The sequence below is a fragment of the Homo sapiens genome, chromosome 14 (genome assembly GCF_000001405.40).
Source record: "Homo sapiens chromosome 14, GRCh38.p14 Primary Assembly".
NCBI lineage: Eukaryota > Metazoa > Chordata > Mammalia > Primates > Hominidae > Homo > Homo sapiens.
In genome coordinates, this window is record NC_000014.9 from 53616020 (window position 1) to 53638359 (window position 22340).

The following is a 22340-nucleotide window of genomic DNA, read 5'->3' on the forward strand; positions in this document are numbered from 1 at the left end:
GGCTCCGGCTATCCAACCTGTTTCTCCATCCTTCAACTTGCCCTTAACCTTCCTTTTTCTGTGTTTTTGTGTGTTCCATTCTCTTCAGCTGGAATGCTCTTCTTCCCACTTGTCCATCTTGGCAGACCTCTGCTTATAACCCAGAAATATTACTTTCTCTGGGAATGCTATGCCAACTGCCCCAAATGGATATAGTCACTCCTCTTGGTTCCCATAGTGGTGTAGTGTAAATATCAGAGCAGTGGTGTCTTAGGGCAGACCCTCTGATCTGTGCTAAAGTGTTTATGAATGTATTAGTCAGGGTTCTCTAGAGGGACAAAACTAATAGGATACATGCATATATGAAGGGGAGTTTATTAGGGGAATTGACTCACATGATCACAAGGTGAAGTCCCACAATAGGCCATCTGCAAGCTGAGGAGCAAGGAAGCCAGTCTGAGTCCCAAAACCTCAGAAGTAGGGAAGCCAACAGTGCAGTCTTCAGTGTGTGGCCAAAAGCCAGAGAGCCCTTGGCAAACCACTGGTATAAGTCCAAGAGTCCAAACGGTGAAGAACTTGGAGTCTGATATTTGAGGACCGGAAGCATCAAGCATGGGAGAAAGATGAAGGCCAGAAGACTTAGCTAGTCTTGTCTTTCCATGTTCTTCTGCCTGCTTTTATTCTGGCCATCCTGGAAGCCAATTAGATTGTGTCCACCCAGATTGTGGGTGGGTCTGCCTTTCCCAGTCCACTGACTCAAATGTTAATCTTCTTTGGCAACACCATCACAGACACACCCAGGAACAATACTTTGCATCCTTCAATGCAATCAAGTTGACACTCAATATAATATTAACCATCACAATGAGGAAATTCCCAAAGGAAACTGGGAAAGTAGTGGGGAGGGGTGCACAGAGGTGAGGGGAAGGAGGAAGCCAAGGGAGTGTACAATCACAGACAAATTCGATCATCTTTTGCCCAATCTGCAGGCAAAGTCAATAATTATACATCAGGCCTCAGAGTTGTCCTAACCTAAGGCAAAGGAACTGGAGTTTTCATACCCTCATATCCAGCAGGTATGGGTCAAGAACCACCCCAGGGGACATGCACTCCCTAAGACACTTTGGTTTCTCCATTTGTGTGGGCAAAGGAGACTCAAAAGATAGTTCTCCAAGAAAGAGTGCAGGTGTTGGCTGTAGGAAGTGAAGCCCATGTGTGTGGGAATGGCAGTAAACTGTGGAGGTGGGGTGGAGCAAGCAGTACAGAAATGTTGAGAAATGATCCTGAAGTGATCCCCTGAGGGGGTGGGGTGGGAGTGACAGAATTGGGTCTATCTGGGTTGCAAACTCAGATCTATCTTTTCCTAGAAAAGTGACCTAATTGTTTTCAGCCTCATTTTCCTCCTCTGTAAAATTTAGAAAATAATTGTATATAACTCTTAGGCTTAAGGTAAGCTTTTTTTTTTTTTTTTTTTTTGACAGAGTTTTGTTCTTGTCATCTAGGCTGAAGTGCAATGGCTGTATTTTGGCTCACTGCAATCTCCACCTCCCTGGTTGAAGCTATTCTCCCGCCTCAGCCTCCTGAGTAGCTGGGATTACAGGTGCGAGCCACCATGCCCAGCTGATTTTTATTTTCAGTAGAGATAGGGTTTCACTATGTTGGCCAGGCTGGTCTCGAACTCCTGACCTCGGGTGATCCACCCGCCTCGGCCTCCCAAAGTTCTGGGATTGCAGGCATGAGCCAACATGCCCAGCCGTGGCTTAAAGTAAAAGTTAAAAAGGATAATGTACTTAAAGTATTTAGCATAGTGTAGGGTACCTAGTAAAAAGTCTAAATATTGCAGACATTATTATAACATTATATTTTATTGTGATTACATATCCAATTCCTCCATCAGACTTGAGATTCTCCAGGGAGGAACCTACTCTATTAGTCTTCCAATCGCTGGCACCTAAGCCAATGCCTGACCCAGAGTAGCTGTCTAAACAATATTTCTTGAGTAAATGAATAGTGTTCCACTTTGAACCTAATCTCTCTTAAAATCTCTGATGCTATAATCCACTGAAATGCTCTATTCATGTGGCTATTTTGCCAGTTAGACCATAAGGGTAGGAGGGTTTCTTATTCTTTTTTGATTGCCTTAAATGTAGCACAACCTGGTACATGACAGTTGCTAAATAATTGTTTGTTGAACTGATGTTTGTTGGGTAAAGGTCCACCATGTTCCAAGGGTAAGACCATTATGAAACCTTAAGGGATATTTTCTCTACTTTAGAGTTTGTTTGCAGACAGTGGTCTCAGATCCCTTATGGTTCAGTACAGGAAAACAGAAACCACTGTAGGTTTTTCATGCAGGATGTGATTTAATAGAGGGAATTAGGTGCTATGGTAGGCAGAATTTATCAAATGGTTCCCCAAAAATCTTATACTGTAATTCTATAAGCTGTAAGTATGCTAATATAACACTCCTGTGATATATTATATGACTCAGTTTAAGAAAAGGAGATTATCTAAGGGGCCTGATCTAATCACATGAGCCCTTAAAAGCAGGCAGCTTTCTCCTCGTAAAGGAAAAGCAAATCAGAGTTAAAGTGTGGGGATGGATTTGACACAAGGATTCTGCTGCTGGCTGTGATGTTGTGAGAAGGACTCCACGTGGAGGATGCAGGAGGCCTTGTGGGAAGGAACGTAGGTGGCTTTAAGGAGTTGAGAGAGGCCCCTGGTTGATGTTAGCAAGGAAAGGGGAATGTCAGTCCTAAAAGCAGGAGGAAGTAAATTCTTCCAACCACATGAATGAACTTGGATGTAGATTCTTTCCAGCGCCTCCAGATAAGAGCTCAATCTGACTGACCCCTTGATTTCAGCCCTGTGAGAACCCAGAGTAGAGAACCAAGTTGAGCTCACCTGCTCTACGGAAGTGTGTGATAAGTGTTGTTTTAAGGTGCTAAGTTTGTGATAATTTGCTATATAAATTTTTTTAGTAAAATGAAATTGCTGCAACTTCCATTGCCTTCCATTGCCTGAAACAAATAGGAATAGAAAGCAAATATGAGTGCTTACTACATTGCAGAAAAGACTAGAACCAAGAAAGTACTATGCTGTGGAAAAGACTAGAACCAAGAAAGTAAGGTGGATTACTCTTAGCTTTCAGGTTATGTCACACAGGTTGCCACCTGAGGTCAGGAAATAATAACTGGCCCACAGCCTTGAAGCTGGTGCCTAGAGGTGACCAGCCAGCTACTATGTTGGTCACATCTGTGGGAGCTCATACTCAAGTCACCACCACCACCATTGACAGAGGAAGAGGCATCTCTTGCTCTCTTTCCCCTTACAGATATCTCACAAATGAATTTCATTGTCAAATGTAAGTCAAATTCAGAACCTTGGTGGAAAGCAAATCTGGGATATGTAGTTCCCAGGCTTCTGGTGCCTGAGATAAAGGGGAACATATATAAAGGTGGGGGGGGATAATGCTGATTGACCATGAATTTTACCCAATATGGCTCTTCAGACTTTCAAGATCCCTTTAAGTCAGCATTCTCATAGGAGTTATTATTTTCATTTTACAGACCAGAAGACTGAGCTTCAATTGGGTTAAGTATCTTGCCAAAGTTTCATAAATGGTATGTAGCAAAACCGAGAGTAGAACTAAATCTCTTTCTCCCCAAGCCTACATTTTTCAGGCTCTGCAGCTGGCGATGGCCTGCAGATGGAATTTATATTATTGGCTGACAATTGGGCCATGTAGACTCAACTGAGAAGGCAATGGAAGTTGCAGCAATTTCATTTTATTAAAAAAAAAGTTCTCCTGGTAAAGGGCTGCTATTAGACTCTTGGAATCCTGTCCAGCTTCATCTTCTCCTCCCTTCTGTCATCCAAGCTTCCTCCTTGGCCCACATTCCCTAACTTTGCACACAAACCTTGCAATGTATGCTCTGATTTCTGGGTTAAATTTGGTGAAGGGCATCCCCTGCTGTCCTTTTACCTGGTGAATACATGGAATTGGCCCTTCTCCTCTGCGTTTAGGGTCTCACTGCCCTCCCTCATTAGTTGGGATCTGGCGCTGGGCTATGAGCAGCATCAGTAGTATCCTCTACTAAAGGGAATCATGTAGCATTTCCCCCAGACAGCTCTATCTTCCCTGCATACCAATCCAATTACAAACAAATTGGGCCACAGGCTCAAGCATGAGAGCAATTTGGCCTTCTCTCCTCTACTGCTGACAGCTTTAAATCTGCTCCCTTTAAAAACTCAACTCCAGGAGGGGATTTTAGCACCCAAGCTTAAGAGCAGTGGGTGCAATTATCCCAAATATCAGGGTGCCGAGAGACTTAGAGGAAGAGCTCCAGATAATATTTTTCAGGGAAAAAAAAATTAAAGAGACAGGTTCTTTGGGATTTCCCCATGGCTGCAGGTTAGAGTCTTGGAGGCTGGTCTTTGCAGGTCTGTTATTAACTTGGCCTGACTTGATCGGCTCTCTCTGGATTCCCTTTTCCTCTCTGGCTGGTTGCCTTTTCTCTCCTGGACTCTGCCTTAGTGGTGAGGAATTCATTCCTAGGTTTCTGGAGGGAGAGAAAGAATGTTTCAGCTGTCTTTACTATGCCTTAAAAGACATAGTTTTTTTTTTTTGAAACATATGCTCATAGTTTGATAGAGCTGAACTCACATAAAAGCAGAGCATCTTCATATGGGGTGACAAGTGGACAGCCCACCTCTTCAGAAAGCCCAGGATCAGCCAGGCTTTCTCCCCATGATGAATCCCATGGGCAAGCTGCTGGGGGAGTTGTGTGAATTTGCTCCTTCTGCCTTTTAAAATGTCCATTTAAATGTACTTTAAATTGAAAATCCAACGTAACTAGAAAGAAAAACAGATATGAAGTAAGATTGTACATGTAGGGTTTTTTTTAATCAAAATTTTCCAAGTTCAGGTTTTCTTGAACTGTAATTATTGTGGGTTACATCTTGGCATTGATGCTTAACGTGCTACCTCCCTTTCCTTTGCCTTTTTGAGGGAAAGATCATTTGCCATTTTCTATCATCACACCAGCCACACTTTCCACATGAGGACCCACTGGGGTTTCTAGGGAAATTCACTTGAGTGAGGTGCCCAGCTGGCTGTGAGGCTGGGGCATTTCCCTTTTCATCCCCCATCAGGGGGGCCTCTCCTACACAAAGTTTGCCTCTCCCACACCACTCTTCTTTTCCCAGAGGTGTCTCCAGTGATTTCTAGGATGATCTAGAAGAACTTACTGAGATCTTTAAATAGTGAAGTGAAGTGGGTAGGTGCATTCTCTGCTCTCATGGAGTCTAGGGCCCCAGAGGGAAGCAGATAGGTATGGCTATTGCAGGAAGTAAAAGCAGTGCTGGGATGGGAAGAAAGGTGCCAGGAGAGCATGACAACAGGGTACGTAACCCCAGCTTAGCAGGAAGACTTCCTAGAAGAAAAGGCCATCAAGCATAAATATGTTAATAACATTGCCACAGTCTCTGTGACGGGTGTCAGAAACTGACTCAAGTAGAGAATAAAAGTGAGTGTCGCTAAGGGGAAATCCATCAAGGGAGAGCCTTCATGGGATCCACTTGGATGGACTGCAACAGTACCATGGCCATGCCAATGGACTGTGCAGCTGCACTTTGATGGCCTTTGACTCTCCATCACTAAGTCAGTCAAAGGGCCAGAGCTCCTCCTCCTTTATTTCCTGTCTCTCTTAAGCAACAGCTGTGTAACTCAGTGCCTCTTGATGGGGAAATGTTGAATAGGAGAGAGGAATCCCTAGAGGTCTGTGTGGTGAGGGGAGTGGGAGATGAGGCTGGATTTTCCTTCGGCTCAGTTATGGCACCTGCCTCACTTCATCTGAGCTTTCAGCCCTCAGGTCATGATAGAAAAGAAGATGCTGGGATCATCCTGTCAAACTGTCAAATTTGGGGGTGAATGAAATATTCACTAGGGAGCTCCAAGAAGCCAGAAAACTCGTATTTACTTTCAACTGGGGAGAATTTGAACCTATGTCTCCAGATTTGTAAGTCCAGGATATTAATTCATTGTGACATCTGGTCCTTCTCTTTGATATTTTAAAAATAGGCTAGAAATAGAATTGTGAATCCATGCTCCAAAGATTCTGGGAAAGAATGCAACTCTGAATGTATCTTGTTTATCCAGCAGGTCTGGTCATTTGTGTAACACGATATTTCATCCATTAGATGCTGTAAGCCAAATTCTAGTGCAGGGTTTCCATTTTGTTTAAATTGTCTATGAAAGAAAAGAATGTGGGAATGTCTGTCTTGCCATTTTCAAGGACTGTGGTGGCACCAGTAGCTGGCTTCTGGCTTCTAGTTTTTGCTACAGCCACTGGAAAATTTAGGACTCTCTCACAATCCTAAAGGCTGGGAACTAGAAAGAAAATTCAGCAGTATGTAACAAGAGCCATAATGATGTGCTCTTTGTTCCAATCAATCCACTCCTGTGAATGTCAAAGAAATGTCACTCGACAGACCCACAAATCTACATTCTCAAAGATGTTCCTCTAGAATTATTTTGTAAAAGGGAAAAAAAATGTAAAAACCACCAACATGTTCAACATTATGGACTGTTTTAAAAATGAGGGCACATTAACTTGAAGAAATATTATGCAGTCCTAAGATAATTATGAAAGCTATGCACATTCACAAATGTCTCTTGGATGGCTGCCATATGCCAGTGCTATTATATAGTATAGAAATATGCAGATTGCAAATCTACGTACTCTATGATATTAGCTACGTAAAAGATGTGTGCTGAGGGGAGAAAATCTGCAGAAATGTTATTAGTAGATAGGGTTATGGATGATTGTATGTTGTTTAATAAATTTGTTACATTGTCTTAAGTGTCAACGGATGTAAACAAATTATGATAAGAGTACAGAAGAAGGTGCTGCTAGTTTGAGAAAGACTTCTGACTATTTTTAAGTGTGAGAGTGATCACTTCTTCATTATTAGTTCATTTATATTTACACAGCACCTACTAAGTACTAGAAAATATAGCAGTAGTTAAGACAGACACACAATCCTTATAATTTTTAGTCAGGTCTGTTTTACTTTATTAATCTTATACTTAATGAATATTTGAATTTAGAAAGTCTCCTTTATAATTATCTATACTGATTTCCCTCTTTTCTATCTCCTTCTTTTCCTCCTTCCTTCTAAAACATTTGTTATAGAGATGGAATTTAAGTCATAGAGAAAGTAATTTGCTGAGATCACAGGGCTTGCTTGCAGCCAACCTGATATTAGACTGATTCTTGGTTTACTTGCACCCTTACTTCTCTCCTGTAATCCCTGAATTTCTTTTAGATATAAAGTTGGAGAATCAACAAGTCTTATTTGGAATCACAATTTAATCGTATTGGTCAGGGAGAGAATGATACAAACAAGCACTTCTCAAGCTATGTCCTATGTAGGCATCACTGGAGGATCTCGTCCAAATACAGAACTTGATTCTGTACTCTGGGTTGGAGCTTGAGGTTCTGTATTTCTCACGAACTCCCAGGTGATTCTAATGTTACCTTTTCTTGAGTTGCAAGGAACTAAAGGGTAGAAAATAATGGAATTTAACTTTTAGCCAGTGTTCTTTTTAGTTTTGTCATCGAGGAAGTAACAATGTCCATTTTTTTTACAAAATCTAAATTTTCTATCACTAACTACTGATACATTTTCCTTTTCCCAATTGGCATTCACTCTGCATCTGGGTCTCTCTCACACAAAATGGTCATGAAAGACGGAAATATTCTAGATCCACGCCACTAAGAGATAATGGAATAGGGACTTGTGCCTCGGTTATCTGACTCCCAAACCCTTGCTTGGCTCTTACCCACTAGGATGCATGGCCCTCACCTTGCTTTCCCATCACCCAGTGGTCAAAGGCCAGGTCTTTGGAGTTAAGACCAAAACTGGGTTCAAAGCCTAACTAAGCACTCAATACTAGGGGTGAGTTACTGCTTTTCATCTTTAAATGTGGATAATAATAACAGTGATATCCTTCAATGATTGTGTAGATTAAATGAGATAATGTACACAAACCACTTTGCCCAGGGTCTGGCATGAAATTAGTGCTCAATAAAGGTAGGTATTATCATTGTATTGAGTTGAGTTTGAATCTCATTTTGAATACTTGACCTAGAGGAATTCACAGCCTAGTAGTTGAAGTAGAAAGGAAATTAAATAATTTTATTTAATATTAATATTTAATTGAACATACTCTAAATACAAATAAATATAAACATATAAATAAAATTCTAAATAAATAGTAATGAGGATATATATAAAGCATACACATCTATGAATCTATGCATATTTATATAAACATAAATACATTTAAATATTTCATGTATTTAATTAATGTTTACACAATAACTATATAAATATACAGACAAATATAAATTAGAGAAATAAACATATATACATATATAAAGTATAAATAAAACATAAATACATAATAAAAATGTAATATAATTTAAATTTAAATAACACATTAAATAATTTGTTAATAAACAAATATATGTAATTTTTATATATAAATGCAACAATTGTTAATGCAAATGTGTTTATGAATAATAGGGAGACTCAGAGATGTAACTATAAAAACTTCCTGGATGGTGAGAGAGAACTTTTGACCTGAGTCCTGAAGGATTAGAATGAGGTTAGGGAAAAGCATTTTGTGCTGAGGGTTCGGAGTAAGGAGGGCAGTAGGCAGCAAGACTGTAATGAAGATTGGTGCTGGTTTGTAAAGTGCTACTAAATCATGACCTTTACCTATGGACTGTGGGAAGCCATGAAAAGGTGGTTTTAAGCAGACCAGGGATGTGACTAGTGTGTATTTTTATTATAGCAAGTAAATCTGTAGGGTGGTTACTTGGTTAGAAATCCTTTGGTATGCTCTCTGCTTCCTTCAGGGGTCTAAAGTGTTTTCCAAGCATCATCAAACCCTGCAACAGTCTTTCAAAACAGTCCTAGCCATTGAAAATGTAAGGGAGAAACAGTCACTGTGTAATAGGGTATATTCTCATTGGTGTATCCCTGGGTTCTAAAATTTCACATTCAATGCTGAGGTTTGTGGCAATTTCATGGAAAAGAAAACAACAAAAACGACAAATGGTTCATCCAAAAGATGTATGAGAGGAAAAAAAATCAAAGATAAAAAAGGGTGAACACAGAGAAATACCTTATTTATGTTCCTATTGTTAACTACTGATTTATTCTTAGAGACCCTTCCCCTCAACCTGACCTTGAAAAGAATGAATTCTCAATGTGGTAGGATTGTTTGATTAAGAGACAGGTAAAAACTGAAGGTAGAATGCTGTGATGATGGAGGAAATACCTAATTCTCTTTTCCTTCATCACTGGCTAACTCATGCAGTTGGAGATAAAAAAAAAATTCTGAAATTAGAGTCTGATAAAACCTTTCATATCATTTCTGTATAGGCTGTTTGTTGGCCATCAGATGCACAGATCTGCGTATCTCTATTGGCCTCTGTCACAGGAACAGCATCTTAAGGTCTCATTCCATAATGTATCATGCAAAAATAAAATGATAATTACACTTCACATTTCCTTTCATCTAAGGATATTATTCTTCCAAACATTAACTAATAAAGACACATAACACTCTGTGAGATAGGTGAATATTATTGTGCTGTTTTATGGATGAGGAAGATGATTAAAAAGGAGATTAAGCAATTTGCCTACAACAAGGTGAGTCTGTAGATATAGGAGTCAAATTTCTACCCTCTGAGACGAACACAATAATTGCTAAACCAAGATAAAAGCCTTTACTTATTCTTTTAGAATGATAGTACAAAATTGAATCATGGCTTTTCACTCCTAAGTTACCCAAGAATCCAGAGATCATCCAAAACAAAAAATATGTATATTTCAAAAAGAAAGAGTCTCATATTTACCTATACGAATTTGTTTCTTCATCATTTAATAGAACCTCAGGACATAGTGTTTTGTTCCTTACCTAATTTGGAACTGTATCATAATCTTTTCAAAGAAGAAAGGCATGGAGGTTTTTTATTATCTAGCATACGCTATGTATTCTAAATCTATTCTGCAATTTAGATCTATGTCTTATAGGATGCTCCTAACACAGTACTCTCCTGCCTTAGAATAATTTTGTAACACTTGTTAGGAGGTAGGGTTCTCATGTATTTTCACTAGAAATATCAGTTATACTTTATCAATCACTTATGTGACACACACTGTGCTAAAGGCTCAACATAATTTGTATTTATTACTTTTACTATGCAAAAGATACTATTTCCATTTCACAGATGAGAAATTTGTAGGTTAAATAGGTTAGCAAACTTGCTCAGTAGAGATAACCTAGTTTGGAGTCTGTAGAGCTTGGAATCTGTCCCAAGATTTTCTGACCCACAACCTCACTATTCTGAGTATCAAATCTTAAGCACAAAATTAGAATTCTTTCCTAAAGAATAATAAAAGTTTAATATATAAAAGGACTTCAAAAATGTCACGGAAAATGCATATCACGAAAAAAGTAAGCATAGATTTCAAAAATTTTTTTGAACCAAAATAAACTCGTATTAACTTATAGCATGTCAAACAGGACCTAGTGTGAGACACTAAGAAGGATAAACATCAATTTAAAAACAGCCTTTATCTGAACAACATGAATTTTGCTAAAATTGAAGCAAGAACAAATATCAAATTTATGGTAAAGCTTGGGTGGAAGAATGGCAAAATTATTGATGTTTTATGAAAAGTTTATGGTGGCAATGCCCCAAATAAATGAACAGTTTACAAATGACAACTTGTTTTAAAAAGAATGAGATGATGTTGAAGATGAGGCATGCAGTGGCAAACCATCCATATCAATCTGTGAGAAAAAAATTTCATCTTGTTCGTGCCCTTCTTGAAGAGGACCAATGATTAACAGCAGAAACAATAGCCAACACCACAGACATCTCAATTAGTTCAGCATACAGAGAGTTCTGATTAAAAAATCAATGTTAGGCAAACTTTCCACTTGCTGTGTGCCAAAACTGTTGTGCCCAGATTGGCTTCAGACAAGAGCAGAGCTTTCAGTGGAGATTTTATGTAAATGGGATCAAGATCTTGAAGCCTTTCTTTGAAGAATTGTAACGGGAGAAGAAACATGGCTTTACCAGTATGATCCTGAAGACGAAGCACAATCAAAGCAATGGCTACCAAGGAGGGAAGGGGTCCAGTCACAGCAAAAGAGGACTAGTCAAGAGCAAAGGTCAGGGCAACAGATTTTTTGGGGCAGCTCATGGCATTTTGCCTGTTGACTTTCTGGAAGGCCAAAGAATGATAACATGTGCTTATTATGAGAAGGTTAGCCAAAACTTTAGCAGAAAATGCCCAAGAAATCTTCACTAGAGTCCTTCTCCAACATGATAATGCTCCTTCTTATTCTTCTCAACAAACAATGGAAAATAATTAGGCATGCAACTTATAGTCCTGATTACCTTCTGAGTTTTTTTGTTTGTTTGTTTTCTAATCTTAAAAAAGTCTTTAAAGGGCATCCATTTTTCTTCAGTTAATAATGAAAAAGACTGCATTGACATGATTAAATTCTCAGGACCTTCAGTTGTTTAAGGATGGATTAAATGACTGGGTACTTATAAGAGTGCCTTAAACTTGGTGGAGCTTATTTTGAGAAAGAAACGAGGGTAACAACACACACTGGGGCTGGTGGGGAGTCAGGGAGGGAGGGAGAGCATAAAAAAAAGAAAAGCTAATGGATGTGGGGCTTAATACCTAGGTGATGGGTGATAGGTGCAGCAAACCACCATGGCACATGTTTTCTTGTAACAAACCTGCAAATCCTGTATATGTGCCCCGGAACTTGAATAAAATAAAATAAAGTTTATATTTTTTATTTTTATCTTTTAATTCCACTTTCCACAAACTTTTTGAGGTCCCCTCCTATGTCTTTTCTTGTGCTTTAGCTTCCATTAAAAAGAGGTTAAAAACATGAATATACTTTTCTACCCAATTACAATGGCAGTGAAAACTTGTAACTCTTGCTTATAGACCCAGATATAGATTTTCTTCGCAGAATAGGGTAAATATTCTACTGTTAGTTGGTATCCTCTATCTCCCCAACCACATCCACCATCTCCCACAGGATACATATTTGTTGGTGGTTGTCAAAAGTTCATTTTGTTTTCTCCTTTCAAAGTCTTTTTTGTCCTGTATTTAATTTTAGTTCCCTTTCCTTTTTTTTTGACTTTTCTACAAAAAGTTGGCAATATCTGAAGCTCCATCCTCTCCTTATTGTGATAACATTCCAACTCTATTACTTTTTACCTTGTTGGTTCCGTGGAGGACATCCTAAGGATTGTTTGTTTTGCTCAAGGACTGGTAAATGATGTGTTTCAGAAGTGACATTTTGACTTGTAGAGGCCAGGCAATTTGGACATGGAGAGAATTTCTATAAATCCCACATGATTTTCTGTATTTCAATGCTGTCATCTTAAATGCAGCATCTGTAGCATAAAACTGCCAAAGAGGGTCATATTTTTATTTTTACCAATAATTCTAGGTGACCTGGTTTAGCCCAGATCCAACAACTTGGATTCTTTACTGACTTTTCTATTAATCTGAACATGAAAGATTTGATGTAGTATAAAATATCTCTTTGGCACTGCCACATGAAAATATATACACATGCTACTTCCAGAAAACAGTCTTCTTGAAGAACAAGATGAAAATTTAATGGCAGCTTTAATTTTAACTTAAGACACTTACAAGATTACACTAGCAAAAAAGAATTCACCACCAGCTGCACGTCTGAGAGACCAAGGGACTGATTAAGTCTGTCACATGGACAACATCTAACTCTTCGAATGGTAGGTGTGCACTACAGTTTGCAGTAAGTCTGTTACCAGATGAGCCAACTTCAAAGATAGTGGTGGGCGGCGCAGAGGATAGTAGGAGGTGGGGAAGCATCAAAAGCTTCAAAGAAAGTTGGGGTTAGTTTTTTTGCCAAAAGTTATTTAAAGTCACTGAACACAAAGATATTTTGAGGCATGTTGATCATGACCTAATATTTATTTTCAGTTTTTGCGACATTAGTATGCAAAGACAGATTAAGTAAATAATGCAAATTAATTGCATTTATATTTTAAACAAAAGAGTAGTTCAAATGCAAGTAGGAGACATCCTGTCTACAAGGATATTTAGCCAATAGCTTGATGCATGTGGTTGCAAAGAAGATTGAGTATTATCCAAGAGACACAGATGGGATGATTTAGGCACAAACAACTTTTATTTTGTTACTTCTGTGCACTCTCTTGGACATACCTGCCTTCATAAAAATTATATTCGTGTACATATAAAAGCCTTAAATATACATCAAGAAATTATATATAAAGCCCTTTCTTGGCAAATATCTAGGATTATTAAACTTTAATATGTTACAGATTTATATTCTTTACAGATTTGTTATAATTTAAAAGTTAAATGTTGACAGTTCATAGTTACACATCTTTTATTTAAGATTTCTGTTGAAATAACATTTTCCACCTGATTTGAAGCAGCAGTTTCTAGGATTTTTAAAAACGCATACATATTGTGAATGTACTAGGTGATACAGTCAGCTTGAAGTATTTTTAATACTAGGAAACTCTTAGGCTTGAGATGTTTTTTAAAACATTTTCCAAAGCCCCTCAAGTGCCCACTAACGTATTTGCCTTTTCTAAGTGGACTACTAGGAAGCTTAAGGCCAAGTTTGTAGCCCACCTCCAGTAAGGCATAGTATTTCATGATATGCTTATTTGTTTACTAGCTTCCATAAATTATTTTCTCACCTCTTGTTTCCTTTTAAACTTTTTTTAAAGTTTAATATTAAATTTTTAAATTTTAAACAACTTTCTTTTAAATTTTACCTAGTCTTGTCATTCTACGTAAGCCACTTTAAAAATATTTCTGAAACCAAGTAGAAATGAATGAAACAAAAATACCTATGTTTTGATACCTATAGCTAATTCGTGATATAAATGCCACAGCTTTAACGGCCTTTTTGCTGGGCAACATAGAGTTGTCTAGATTTCCAAGGGTAAAGGGGAATTAGAAATATTATTATAAATAATTAACTCATCCAGGTCATAATGAGGATAATTATTTTTGTGTATCTTTATCCCTCTGGGATATGCAATAATTGCATCTGTTCTTTGCCAGGAAATATTTAAATATTGTTATTGGTTGAAACAAAATGCAAACCTTTGTCTGGCCTCATTCGATGTGTCCAAAGATACAGAGAAGGTAACACCCAGATTCACATTTACTAAGGGATTCCAAATAATGCCCTAAATGACTATTTTGGAGCTCAGTTACATGCAGGTGGTAGGAGGATTTATGCTGTGAATGCCTAAAATACTTTCTCCACCGAGGGGAGATTATTAAGTCCTAGTGAGCCTGAGTGTTCGGTGCCAATACTAACCATTAACTTTTGGCTCTGAGCCACGACTGTCTACTCTGCAGTGGATTCTGCCACCAAGGGGAAGGTCATTAAGGGCTGTTCTTTATTCTCGTTAGTATGTTCCAACATAATTAACAGAAGTTGTTCACCAGATGGTTTCCTTCCTGTCAGCAAGTACCTCCAGCTTAATGGGCTATGCAGGATTCTTTACTTTAAGTGGGTGAGGCGGGAAGCAAATTTAAAATATATCATCTTTGATCCTCCCACTTCTAATTAGTTCTAAAGGTTTTAGATAATAACGTAAAGGGGGCAGTGAAATGGAATCATCCTAAAAATCAAAGAATCACAGAAGGCTATCAGGAGTTTTACACATACCATGGGGTGTTTCTTCCTCCCTAATAAGTCTCCACCCAGCACCAAGAGAAGTATAGAAATAACTGTCAGCTTACCACTGAAACATGTTTATAGTGCCTTAGAGCTAAAATGAATTTAAAATCTGGTAATAAAATTCAATAAGTGCTTACTGAGTTCCCACTGGGTTTTGGAAATTGTCTTGGGTGCTTGGGATATAAGAGCAAGTTACCTCTCTTGCCCCAGAAGTTAGAGAGTAACGGATTCAGACATGTAGGCAGGCCATTTTTAGTAGAGTTTGGTAAGTACTGTACCAGATACTTTTGGTCTCCAACCTCAGCACCGTTTCTCTTTCTTGGGAAATAAACTTTGGTCTTGTTCAGGTATGCACTCTCTTGAACATGGTATTGGATGCAAAGGAAATATGTCTAAGCCAATTTTAGCTGTCCCGTTCCCCTATGCTAATGTTCGGTTTAATAGTTGGACATGTTAGCCGCTTCTGACCGATGAATCAGGAGAGGGGTATCATTGGGAACTTGTAGGAAAGGCTTTCTTGCTCCTAAGAAAGCGCTAGGAAATATGGCCCTCCTTTCTTCCAATGTTGTGGTTGTAATACTCGGAACAGTCTAGTTACAGGGTATAAAAGCATTATAAAATACATCTGACTAGCTAAAATCAAACAGTCTCTCTCTAAACTTACTATGTTCAGAAAATGATTTTATTATAAGGAAAATAATAACAATATCTAATTCTCATTCATTATCTCCTGTGATTATTGCAACAACCTTGTAAGTCATATAGGACAGAAACTATCCCCTTTATTTAGATGAGGAAACTAAGAGAGACCGATGTGACGAGCCTGGACAAAGGTCATGGCTTCTGAAATTAAGTGCTCTTTCAACCTTACCATGTCGTTTCTTTTCTTAAACAGTCAAAGCAAAAAACTCAATCACACAGGCCAGGAACACAATGTAATTACAAAACTCTTCCCTTTTTTGGCCTAAAAAAAACAGTAATTCTGCTTCTTTTGAGCTTCCATCCTGGAATTTTAAATTCAGTTTTATTTCTTCTGTGGAAAAAAAATTGAAGTCACTTAAGGTGAAAAGGGCTTTTTAATGGGAAAATAGGTCATTAAATATCAACCTAGACTACTAATAATTAGAAGTGGTTTTAAAAGATGTTTGAGAGACAAGATGAAATGGCCTAGTTCCAGGCATTGTATGCTATCACTCCACCTAGGAAGAAGGGCTGTGACAGTGATGAGTGGGCTAGAAGACTGTGTTATAAAAACTCTGGCCAAAGTATTTATAGGCTTAATAATCATGTGCTATAACTCAGTTGCAAAGATGATTTCGCTCATTCACCAGCTGTTAGTATGCCTTTGTGTGCAAAGTGACAGAAAGCCTAACTCAATTGGTTTAAGCAAAACAGAATGTACTGGTTCACAGCACTGAATGATACTCAGCAGGTGCTCTGACTGCAGGTATAGCTTCATTTAGGGCTCAACTCCTGCCACCAGGCTCCACCTATAGGCTCTTCTTTCTCTGTGGTGGTTCAGTTCTGTCTCTGGGTGGTGGTCCCAAACTTTAGGCTTGCTGCATTATAGCACCCAGTCTACTGGAAATAGAGTCTCAAATAGAAATAGTAGTTTCAAAAAGAACTGAAATGAAGGCTAGGATTTGAATTCTGTTCACCCAGACAGTATCATTGTGGTACATTGAGCTATTTCTTGGTCACAATTCTTTACTCTGTTGTGGCAGCATTATACATCCCCTTATGGCCACAGTCTCATGGTAGGCAATGTACCATTGTATAAGCTCAGTGGCCATGGACTTGCCCATGTGACTTGTTTGGTTAATGGGATGCTAGCAAATGTTAGCATCCCATTAGCCAAACAAGATTCTTCAAGAAGAATCTTGAAGTATACAGTTGGACTTTCCCTCTTGCTGCACCCCTGCCTTTCATCATGGGAAGAAAATGCCTTTTTGAAAGACGTGTTGTGCAAGGAGGATGAAAGATGGGTCAACCCTGGATGTAGTCATCTGCTTGGAGCTAACATCATCCAAGCCTACCCTTTGTTAGTCAAACCTCAGCCACCTGCAGAAATGTGAGCAAGAAATAAATGCTTGTTATTATAAGCCACTGAGTTTTGTAATAATTTGTTACACGGCATTATGATAGCAACAGGTGACTGATAAAATCCACTAGCCCACTCTGCCCATTCCTATACCAATCTCTAAGGCAAGGGCTTGGTATGTGATTGGATAAGTCTAGGTCATGAGTTCGGCTGCTAGAAGCCAGTGGTGGATTCTGACTCACCTCTGGAATAAAGACTGAAAGGGCAAAGAAAGAAGGACACTGTTATCTAAAGAAAATTCCAAGGCCAGGCTCGGTGGCTCAAGGCCGTGCGCTGTGGCTCACACCTGTAATCCCAGCATTTTGGGAGGCCGAGGCGGGTGGATCACGAGGTCAGGAGATCGAGACCATCCTGGCTAACACGGTGAAACCCCATCTCTGCTAAAGAAACAAAAATTAGCCGGGCGTGGTGGCGAGTGTGCCTGTAGCCCCAGCTGCTCTACTCAGGAGGCAGAGGCAGGAGAATGGCGTGAACCCGGGAGGTGGAGCTTGTGCCGAGCCGAAATCGTGCCACTGCACTCCAACCTGGGCAACAGAACAAGACTCCATCTCTAAACAACAACAACAACAAAGAGGATTCCAATGGGCAAAAACAATAGATGTCTTCTACATCCATCGTCAGCAAAATCTACATTTAGAGTTGGTGATGAATTGAATCAGGATGCCACACCCTCCATGCTGAACCCTTGTAAATGACTAACAACCTGACATGCCTGTGACAAACAACTGATCAATGAAGAGGAGATGGTAATGAAGGGGAAAATCAACCTTCAGAGACTTTGTGTTGTGCTGAAGCCTCGTGCCCAGAGCAGAGCAAGTAGGTAGTTGGTCATTGTGCTGGTTGGAAAACACCTGAAATAGGTTTTGGTCCTGAGCATCATATTTCAAAAGGTACATTATTACATTGAAACCTGTGGAGAATGAGGAATCCAGAAATGTTAAAAAGAAAAAGCTGGTGCCCATTGGTAGGGCAGATGTGGGGAGGATGAAATAAGAATCAGGATCATCAAGGGAAGAGATGATAATTATTTCAAATATCATAAGGGCTGACAAATGGAAGAGAGATTGAATTTGGTCTGCATTCCTCCAAGAGCAAACTATTTTGACCTGAAGATAGGTGTTATTGTGGAAAGAATATGGGCTTTAAGATCAGGAAGAGAGAACTTAGTTCAAATTCTAGGTTACTACTTATTAGTGGTATGTCCCTGGGAAGTAACATTCCGTCTCAGTGTCTGGTGCCTCATCTGTAAAAGGGGGATGCTACAATGTAAATAGATTTGTCGGAGAGCTTCAAAAACAATTCATGAAAGGCCTGCCCCTTTGTAGGTGCTCCATAAGGGTTAGCTACTTTAATATTGGTGATATCATTATTATTAGAACTATTATTAGTACTAATGTGCTGAATACACAGGGAAGCCAATTTTAGCCAAGTATAATGAGAAAGAATACTTAGCACTGTCCAAAAATAGAATGAGCTTCTGAGTGTCTTATTGAGTCTCCAGTCCTGGGGACTGTTCCAGTAGAGGCTGGTCATAGGAACTGGCATAGAGAGGACCTTCTGGGAGTCCTGAGAGACTGTTATATGGATTTCTGGGGGTTCACTATAACTCTGAGGTCCCAAGATTCAAGAAACCATGAGCCAGCTTCATTAATGCCAGCCCCCACTGAGTGAATAGTAAAAGGTGTTAGAAATAAGGGAACCAAACATCTGGATGTACTTGGAGCAATCTTAGTTTAGACCTGTTGTCCTGGTGCAATTATGAAATCATCCACTTTCTCTCTTGACAGTGTCCCAGTTTGGAGAATAATATTAAAGGGTTACCCTAATTCTAACTACTTCAGCAAATAGAAGCTAAGCATATTCTTTTTATTTTCTAAATAAGTTATCGCCTTTCCCTGAGCCCCAGAATCACTGGTCTTTCTGGGTTCTCCTTCCCTGTGTAATGTTATTGTCATCCTCCTGTGAACTCAGCCTCATGCCTTTGGAAAGCCACTTTAGCATTTCTGCCTCCCTCTCTCCATACTTTCAATCACTTGCCAAACCCTTTTGATCCTATCTTCAACATGCCTCCCATATCTGTGCTTCTTTTAAGTCTCACCGCTTTAATTCAGGTTCTTGTTACCTCTTGCCTGGAGCATCGTAAAATCCTCCTAACAGCCCAGACTCATCCTATTATCCATAAACCCACTGCCACTGGAGTGTGCCTTTTAAAGCGTGCCATCAATCTTGCTGATTCTTTTTACTAACCTAGATAAATAAAATTGAGTTTCAGTTGTCTGAGTCTTACTGTGTCATGTAAATATGGATAGAAGGGTTTTCATCAAATGTGGAGGATATGTTTAGGACGGTGTGATTTAGAATGCAAAGTTATGTGGACTACACAAAATTCCCCTGAAGGCACTCAGGAGGGCATCTCAATGGTTTTGGTCACTAACTTCAGACCAGCTAGAAATGAAGTATGGGTCACGCAGGCTAACAACATCAACCATGGACAAAGAAAACAATGGTTTCCAATCTGAGTCCCAATTGAATGTTTAAGGGCAAGTTCTCTGAATTGCAGATGCTGACTTGCAATAGGTGTTGATTTTTCATGGAGCTGCTGTTCTCATGGACAACTCAATATAGCATTTGCTGGGGTTATTTAAACAATGTTGGTAAATGATTTCCTTGAGCAACACCAGAGAGACCAGCTAGAACAGAAAAACCCAAAAACTTCTCGGATAGCCATTCACAGTCATCTGCCCTGGTCTCTGAGTCTCTACTAAAGGTATGTTCCCCAGATGCACTATTCAGACGACATTTTGTCTCTCACCTGTGTGCGCATTAGCCTTCTTTCTTAACTCTGGCTCAGCTGTTCTTCCTCCTCAGGTGAAACATTTTCCCATCACCTCCAATTTTGGGAGTGTGCCCCATTGGTCAAGGCTCAGCTCAAATGCCACTTCTTCCATAAGACTTTGCCAGATTCTCAAAGGGTCATTAATTTCCTCCTAGAATGCTTTTCACTGTATGTTATCTATTTTTTAAGATATATTTTATTAGATTTTATTTATTAAATGTAGCTATTTGCTTATCTTTGTCTTTTCACCTGTAAGTCTCAAGGGAAAAAAATGTCTTATCTTGGTATCCACTTTAGTGTTTTGCACATGGAAATTTTCAATAAAAGTTTATTGGATTAAATGATATTTTAAAAGAGTATCTCAATTTGGTTGGGTCACCTTCTCACAAGGTGGAATTGAAGTGTTTCCTAGAAAGAGGATCATCAATGCAATGCTATACCGTTATTTAAACCATGACAGGTTCTTTTTGCTGGAGAAATACATTTGCTTTGCAATTAACAAATGATAGTTATTATCCATCTTTTTAATGTGAGGGTTTATACGTTTTCAAAAAGCTGTCAAATGCCAGGAAATGCTATGAAGACTAATCCTAATTCTTAATTCTTGGTCATTCTAATACTTAAATTCTTAAATCTGCCTGTAATATAAGAAATATGCTGAATGTACAATTGGTGGAGCAAGTTGTTCCTCTACTCACCTATTTTAGGCAATAATCTCTAGAGGGTATCAAATCTTCAGCAAAGTTGTTGGCTTCAATCGAAGCAATTTTGACTTACCTTACGTGTTCCAGTCAGTGGGATATCAGATTGCTTCCTGTGTAGTATGGAGGTTTAAACCAACAATCACAAGGGTCTATCTTTGAAGCATAAAACCCTTGGACATTAAAACTTCTTTCTGGCACCATGCCCAAGGTCAGAAATCTGCATTTTTAGCACACTTCATCTGGGATTTCTCAGCACACACGGCCTGAATTCTCCATTCTTACTCAACTTCCAAGCATGCAGTTCTGCTGAAGAAAGCCCAATTCTGGAGTCTATTAAAAAAGAAGTAGAAAAATGGAACCTCACCCTGGGCAGCCAGTGAGAAAGATGCCTTCTGGAAACAAGACAAACCATGACACGGTTATCAGGATGTCATTTAAACTGCTTAAGATGAAACTGAGCAGGACTCTTGGGTCTAGATGGGCACAAACACAGAGGAGGAGTTTCCATGAAAATGGTGAAGATGAAACATCGGGAGAATGTTAAAGGGACAGAGGTGAAAGGGCTGTTCCTGGATTGTTTCAATTCTGGCATAGAATTCCAAGGTGAAAAGTCCTAAAGCAATACGGAACCCCTAATTTGGAACTGACAGAATGAAAGAGAAGAAATAATTAGGTAGGAATTCAGCATTTAGAGAATTGCGGAAGTATAGGATCAGACACAATACTTGGCCCATTCGCAAGGGGTGGTGAAGGCGCTACCATTTGCTTCTTGAAGGAGTGTGAAACAGGAGGGTGAGGGTGAGTGTGAGGCACTGTGAGGCCAGTGGCCAAGGACAAAGCCCCTGCAGGGAGCACTCAGGGGGGACCAACGAGGAACTGTGTGTAGATGAAATCACATCTGCCTGTGATCCTTACCAGGCATGTCCAGGGTGGTTATCTCCTCCTCTTGAAGTTCTGAAACCTCGAAGGGACCTTACAGATGAGTTGGTCCCACTCTGTTGTTACGGAGAAGGAAGCTAAACACAGAGAGGATGAGTGAAGGACCCAGTAACCCAGTTTACAGAGCTAGGTCTTGAATCTAATTGTTAGGTTCTTTCCCTGTGCTTTTTCCCTTTGGACACATGCCCTTATATAAGATAGTATCCTATCACTGAGCTCCCAGTCCCTCCCCTCTGCAGGGCACCTCCCTGAGTGGTTTCAAACTTCACGCAAAGAGAAAGAGGGCACAGAATCCTAAAAGACGCCACTAACGAAGGTCTGTGTTAGGTGCTTTGTCTTTGTAATCTTCAAACAGCATGGTGACCACAGTTAATAATAATGGACTGTATATTTCAAAATTGCTAAAAGAGTAGACTTTGCCCTTACAACAGAAACATGATAAGTAGGGGTGATGGATATTTTCATTGGCTTGATTTAATGTTTCTACAATGTATATGTATATCAAAACATCACATTTTACCCCATAAGTATATACAATTATTATATATAAATTACTAAAATTGTAAAAAACCAACAACCCCAAGAGGTAGTGATCATTGGTTCCATTCTACAGGAAAGAGAAGTTAAGGACTTTGTCAAAGGTAACAAAGCTAGTCAATTTGGGAGGTGGCAACTGAATTGAGTCCATCTATTTTCAAAGTCAATGCTCCTTCACTTCTTCAGGGAAACTGCCCTGTCTTCCACCCTCAACCCATTTCCTGAACGGGCTTTGTGAAATCACTGAAAATCTGCCCTTCCCTGTCCTTCCACTCTGGTTCCCAGTTCTTAGACCCTGAGCTTCTTGGGGGCTGCTTGGGATAACACCACACCCCTGCCCAGCAGGCAGTTTCAGTCACAATGGAGCCTTTGTTCTAAGATGAGAAACCTCTCTTTGGGAATCTGCTCCAGACA

General features: G+C 39.4%; 1 long non-coding RNA gene across 3 annotated transcripts in view, besides 1 other annotated feature; it reads left to right on the top strand.

The window, feature by feature from the left end:
• The window catches only part of LOC105370504 (uncharacterized), a 402142-nt gene that overhangs the window by 295368 nt on the left and 84434 nt on the right, over positions 1-22340 (top strand). The window lies entirely within an intron of this gene.
• Positions 5605-5674: a silencer, noted in NCBI's record as "silent region_5755". NCBI's record gives its function as "represses an Ori minimal core promoter by ATAC-STARR-seq in GM12878 lymphoblastoid cells {active_cell/tissue: GM12878}" and the evidence as "EXISTENCE:reporter gene assay evidence [ECO:0000049][PMID:35858748]".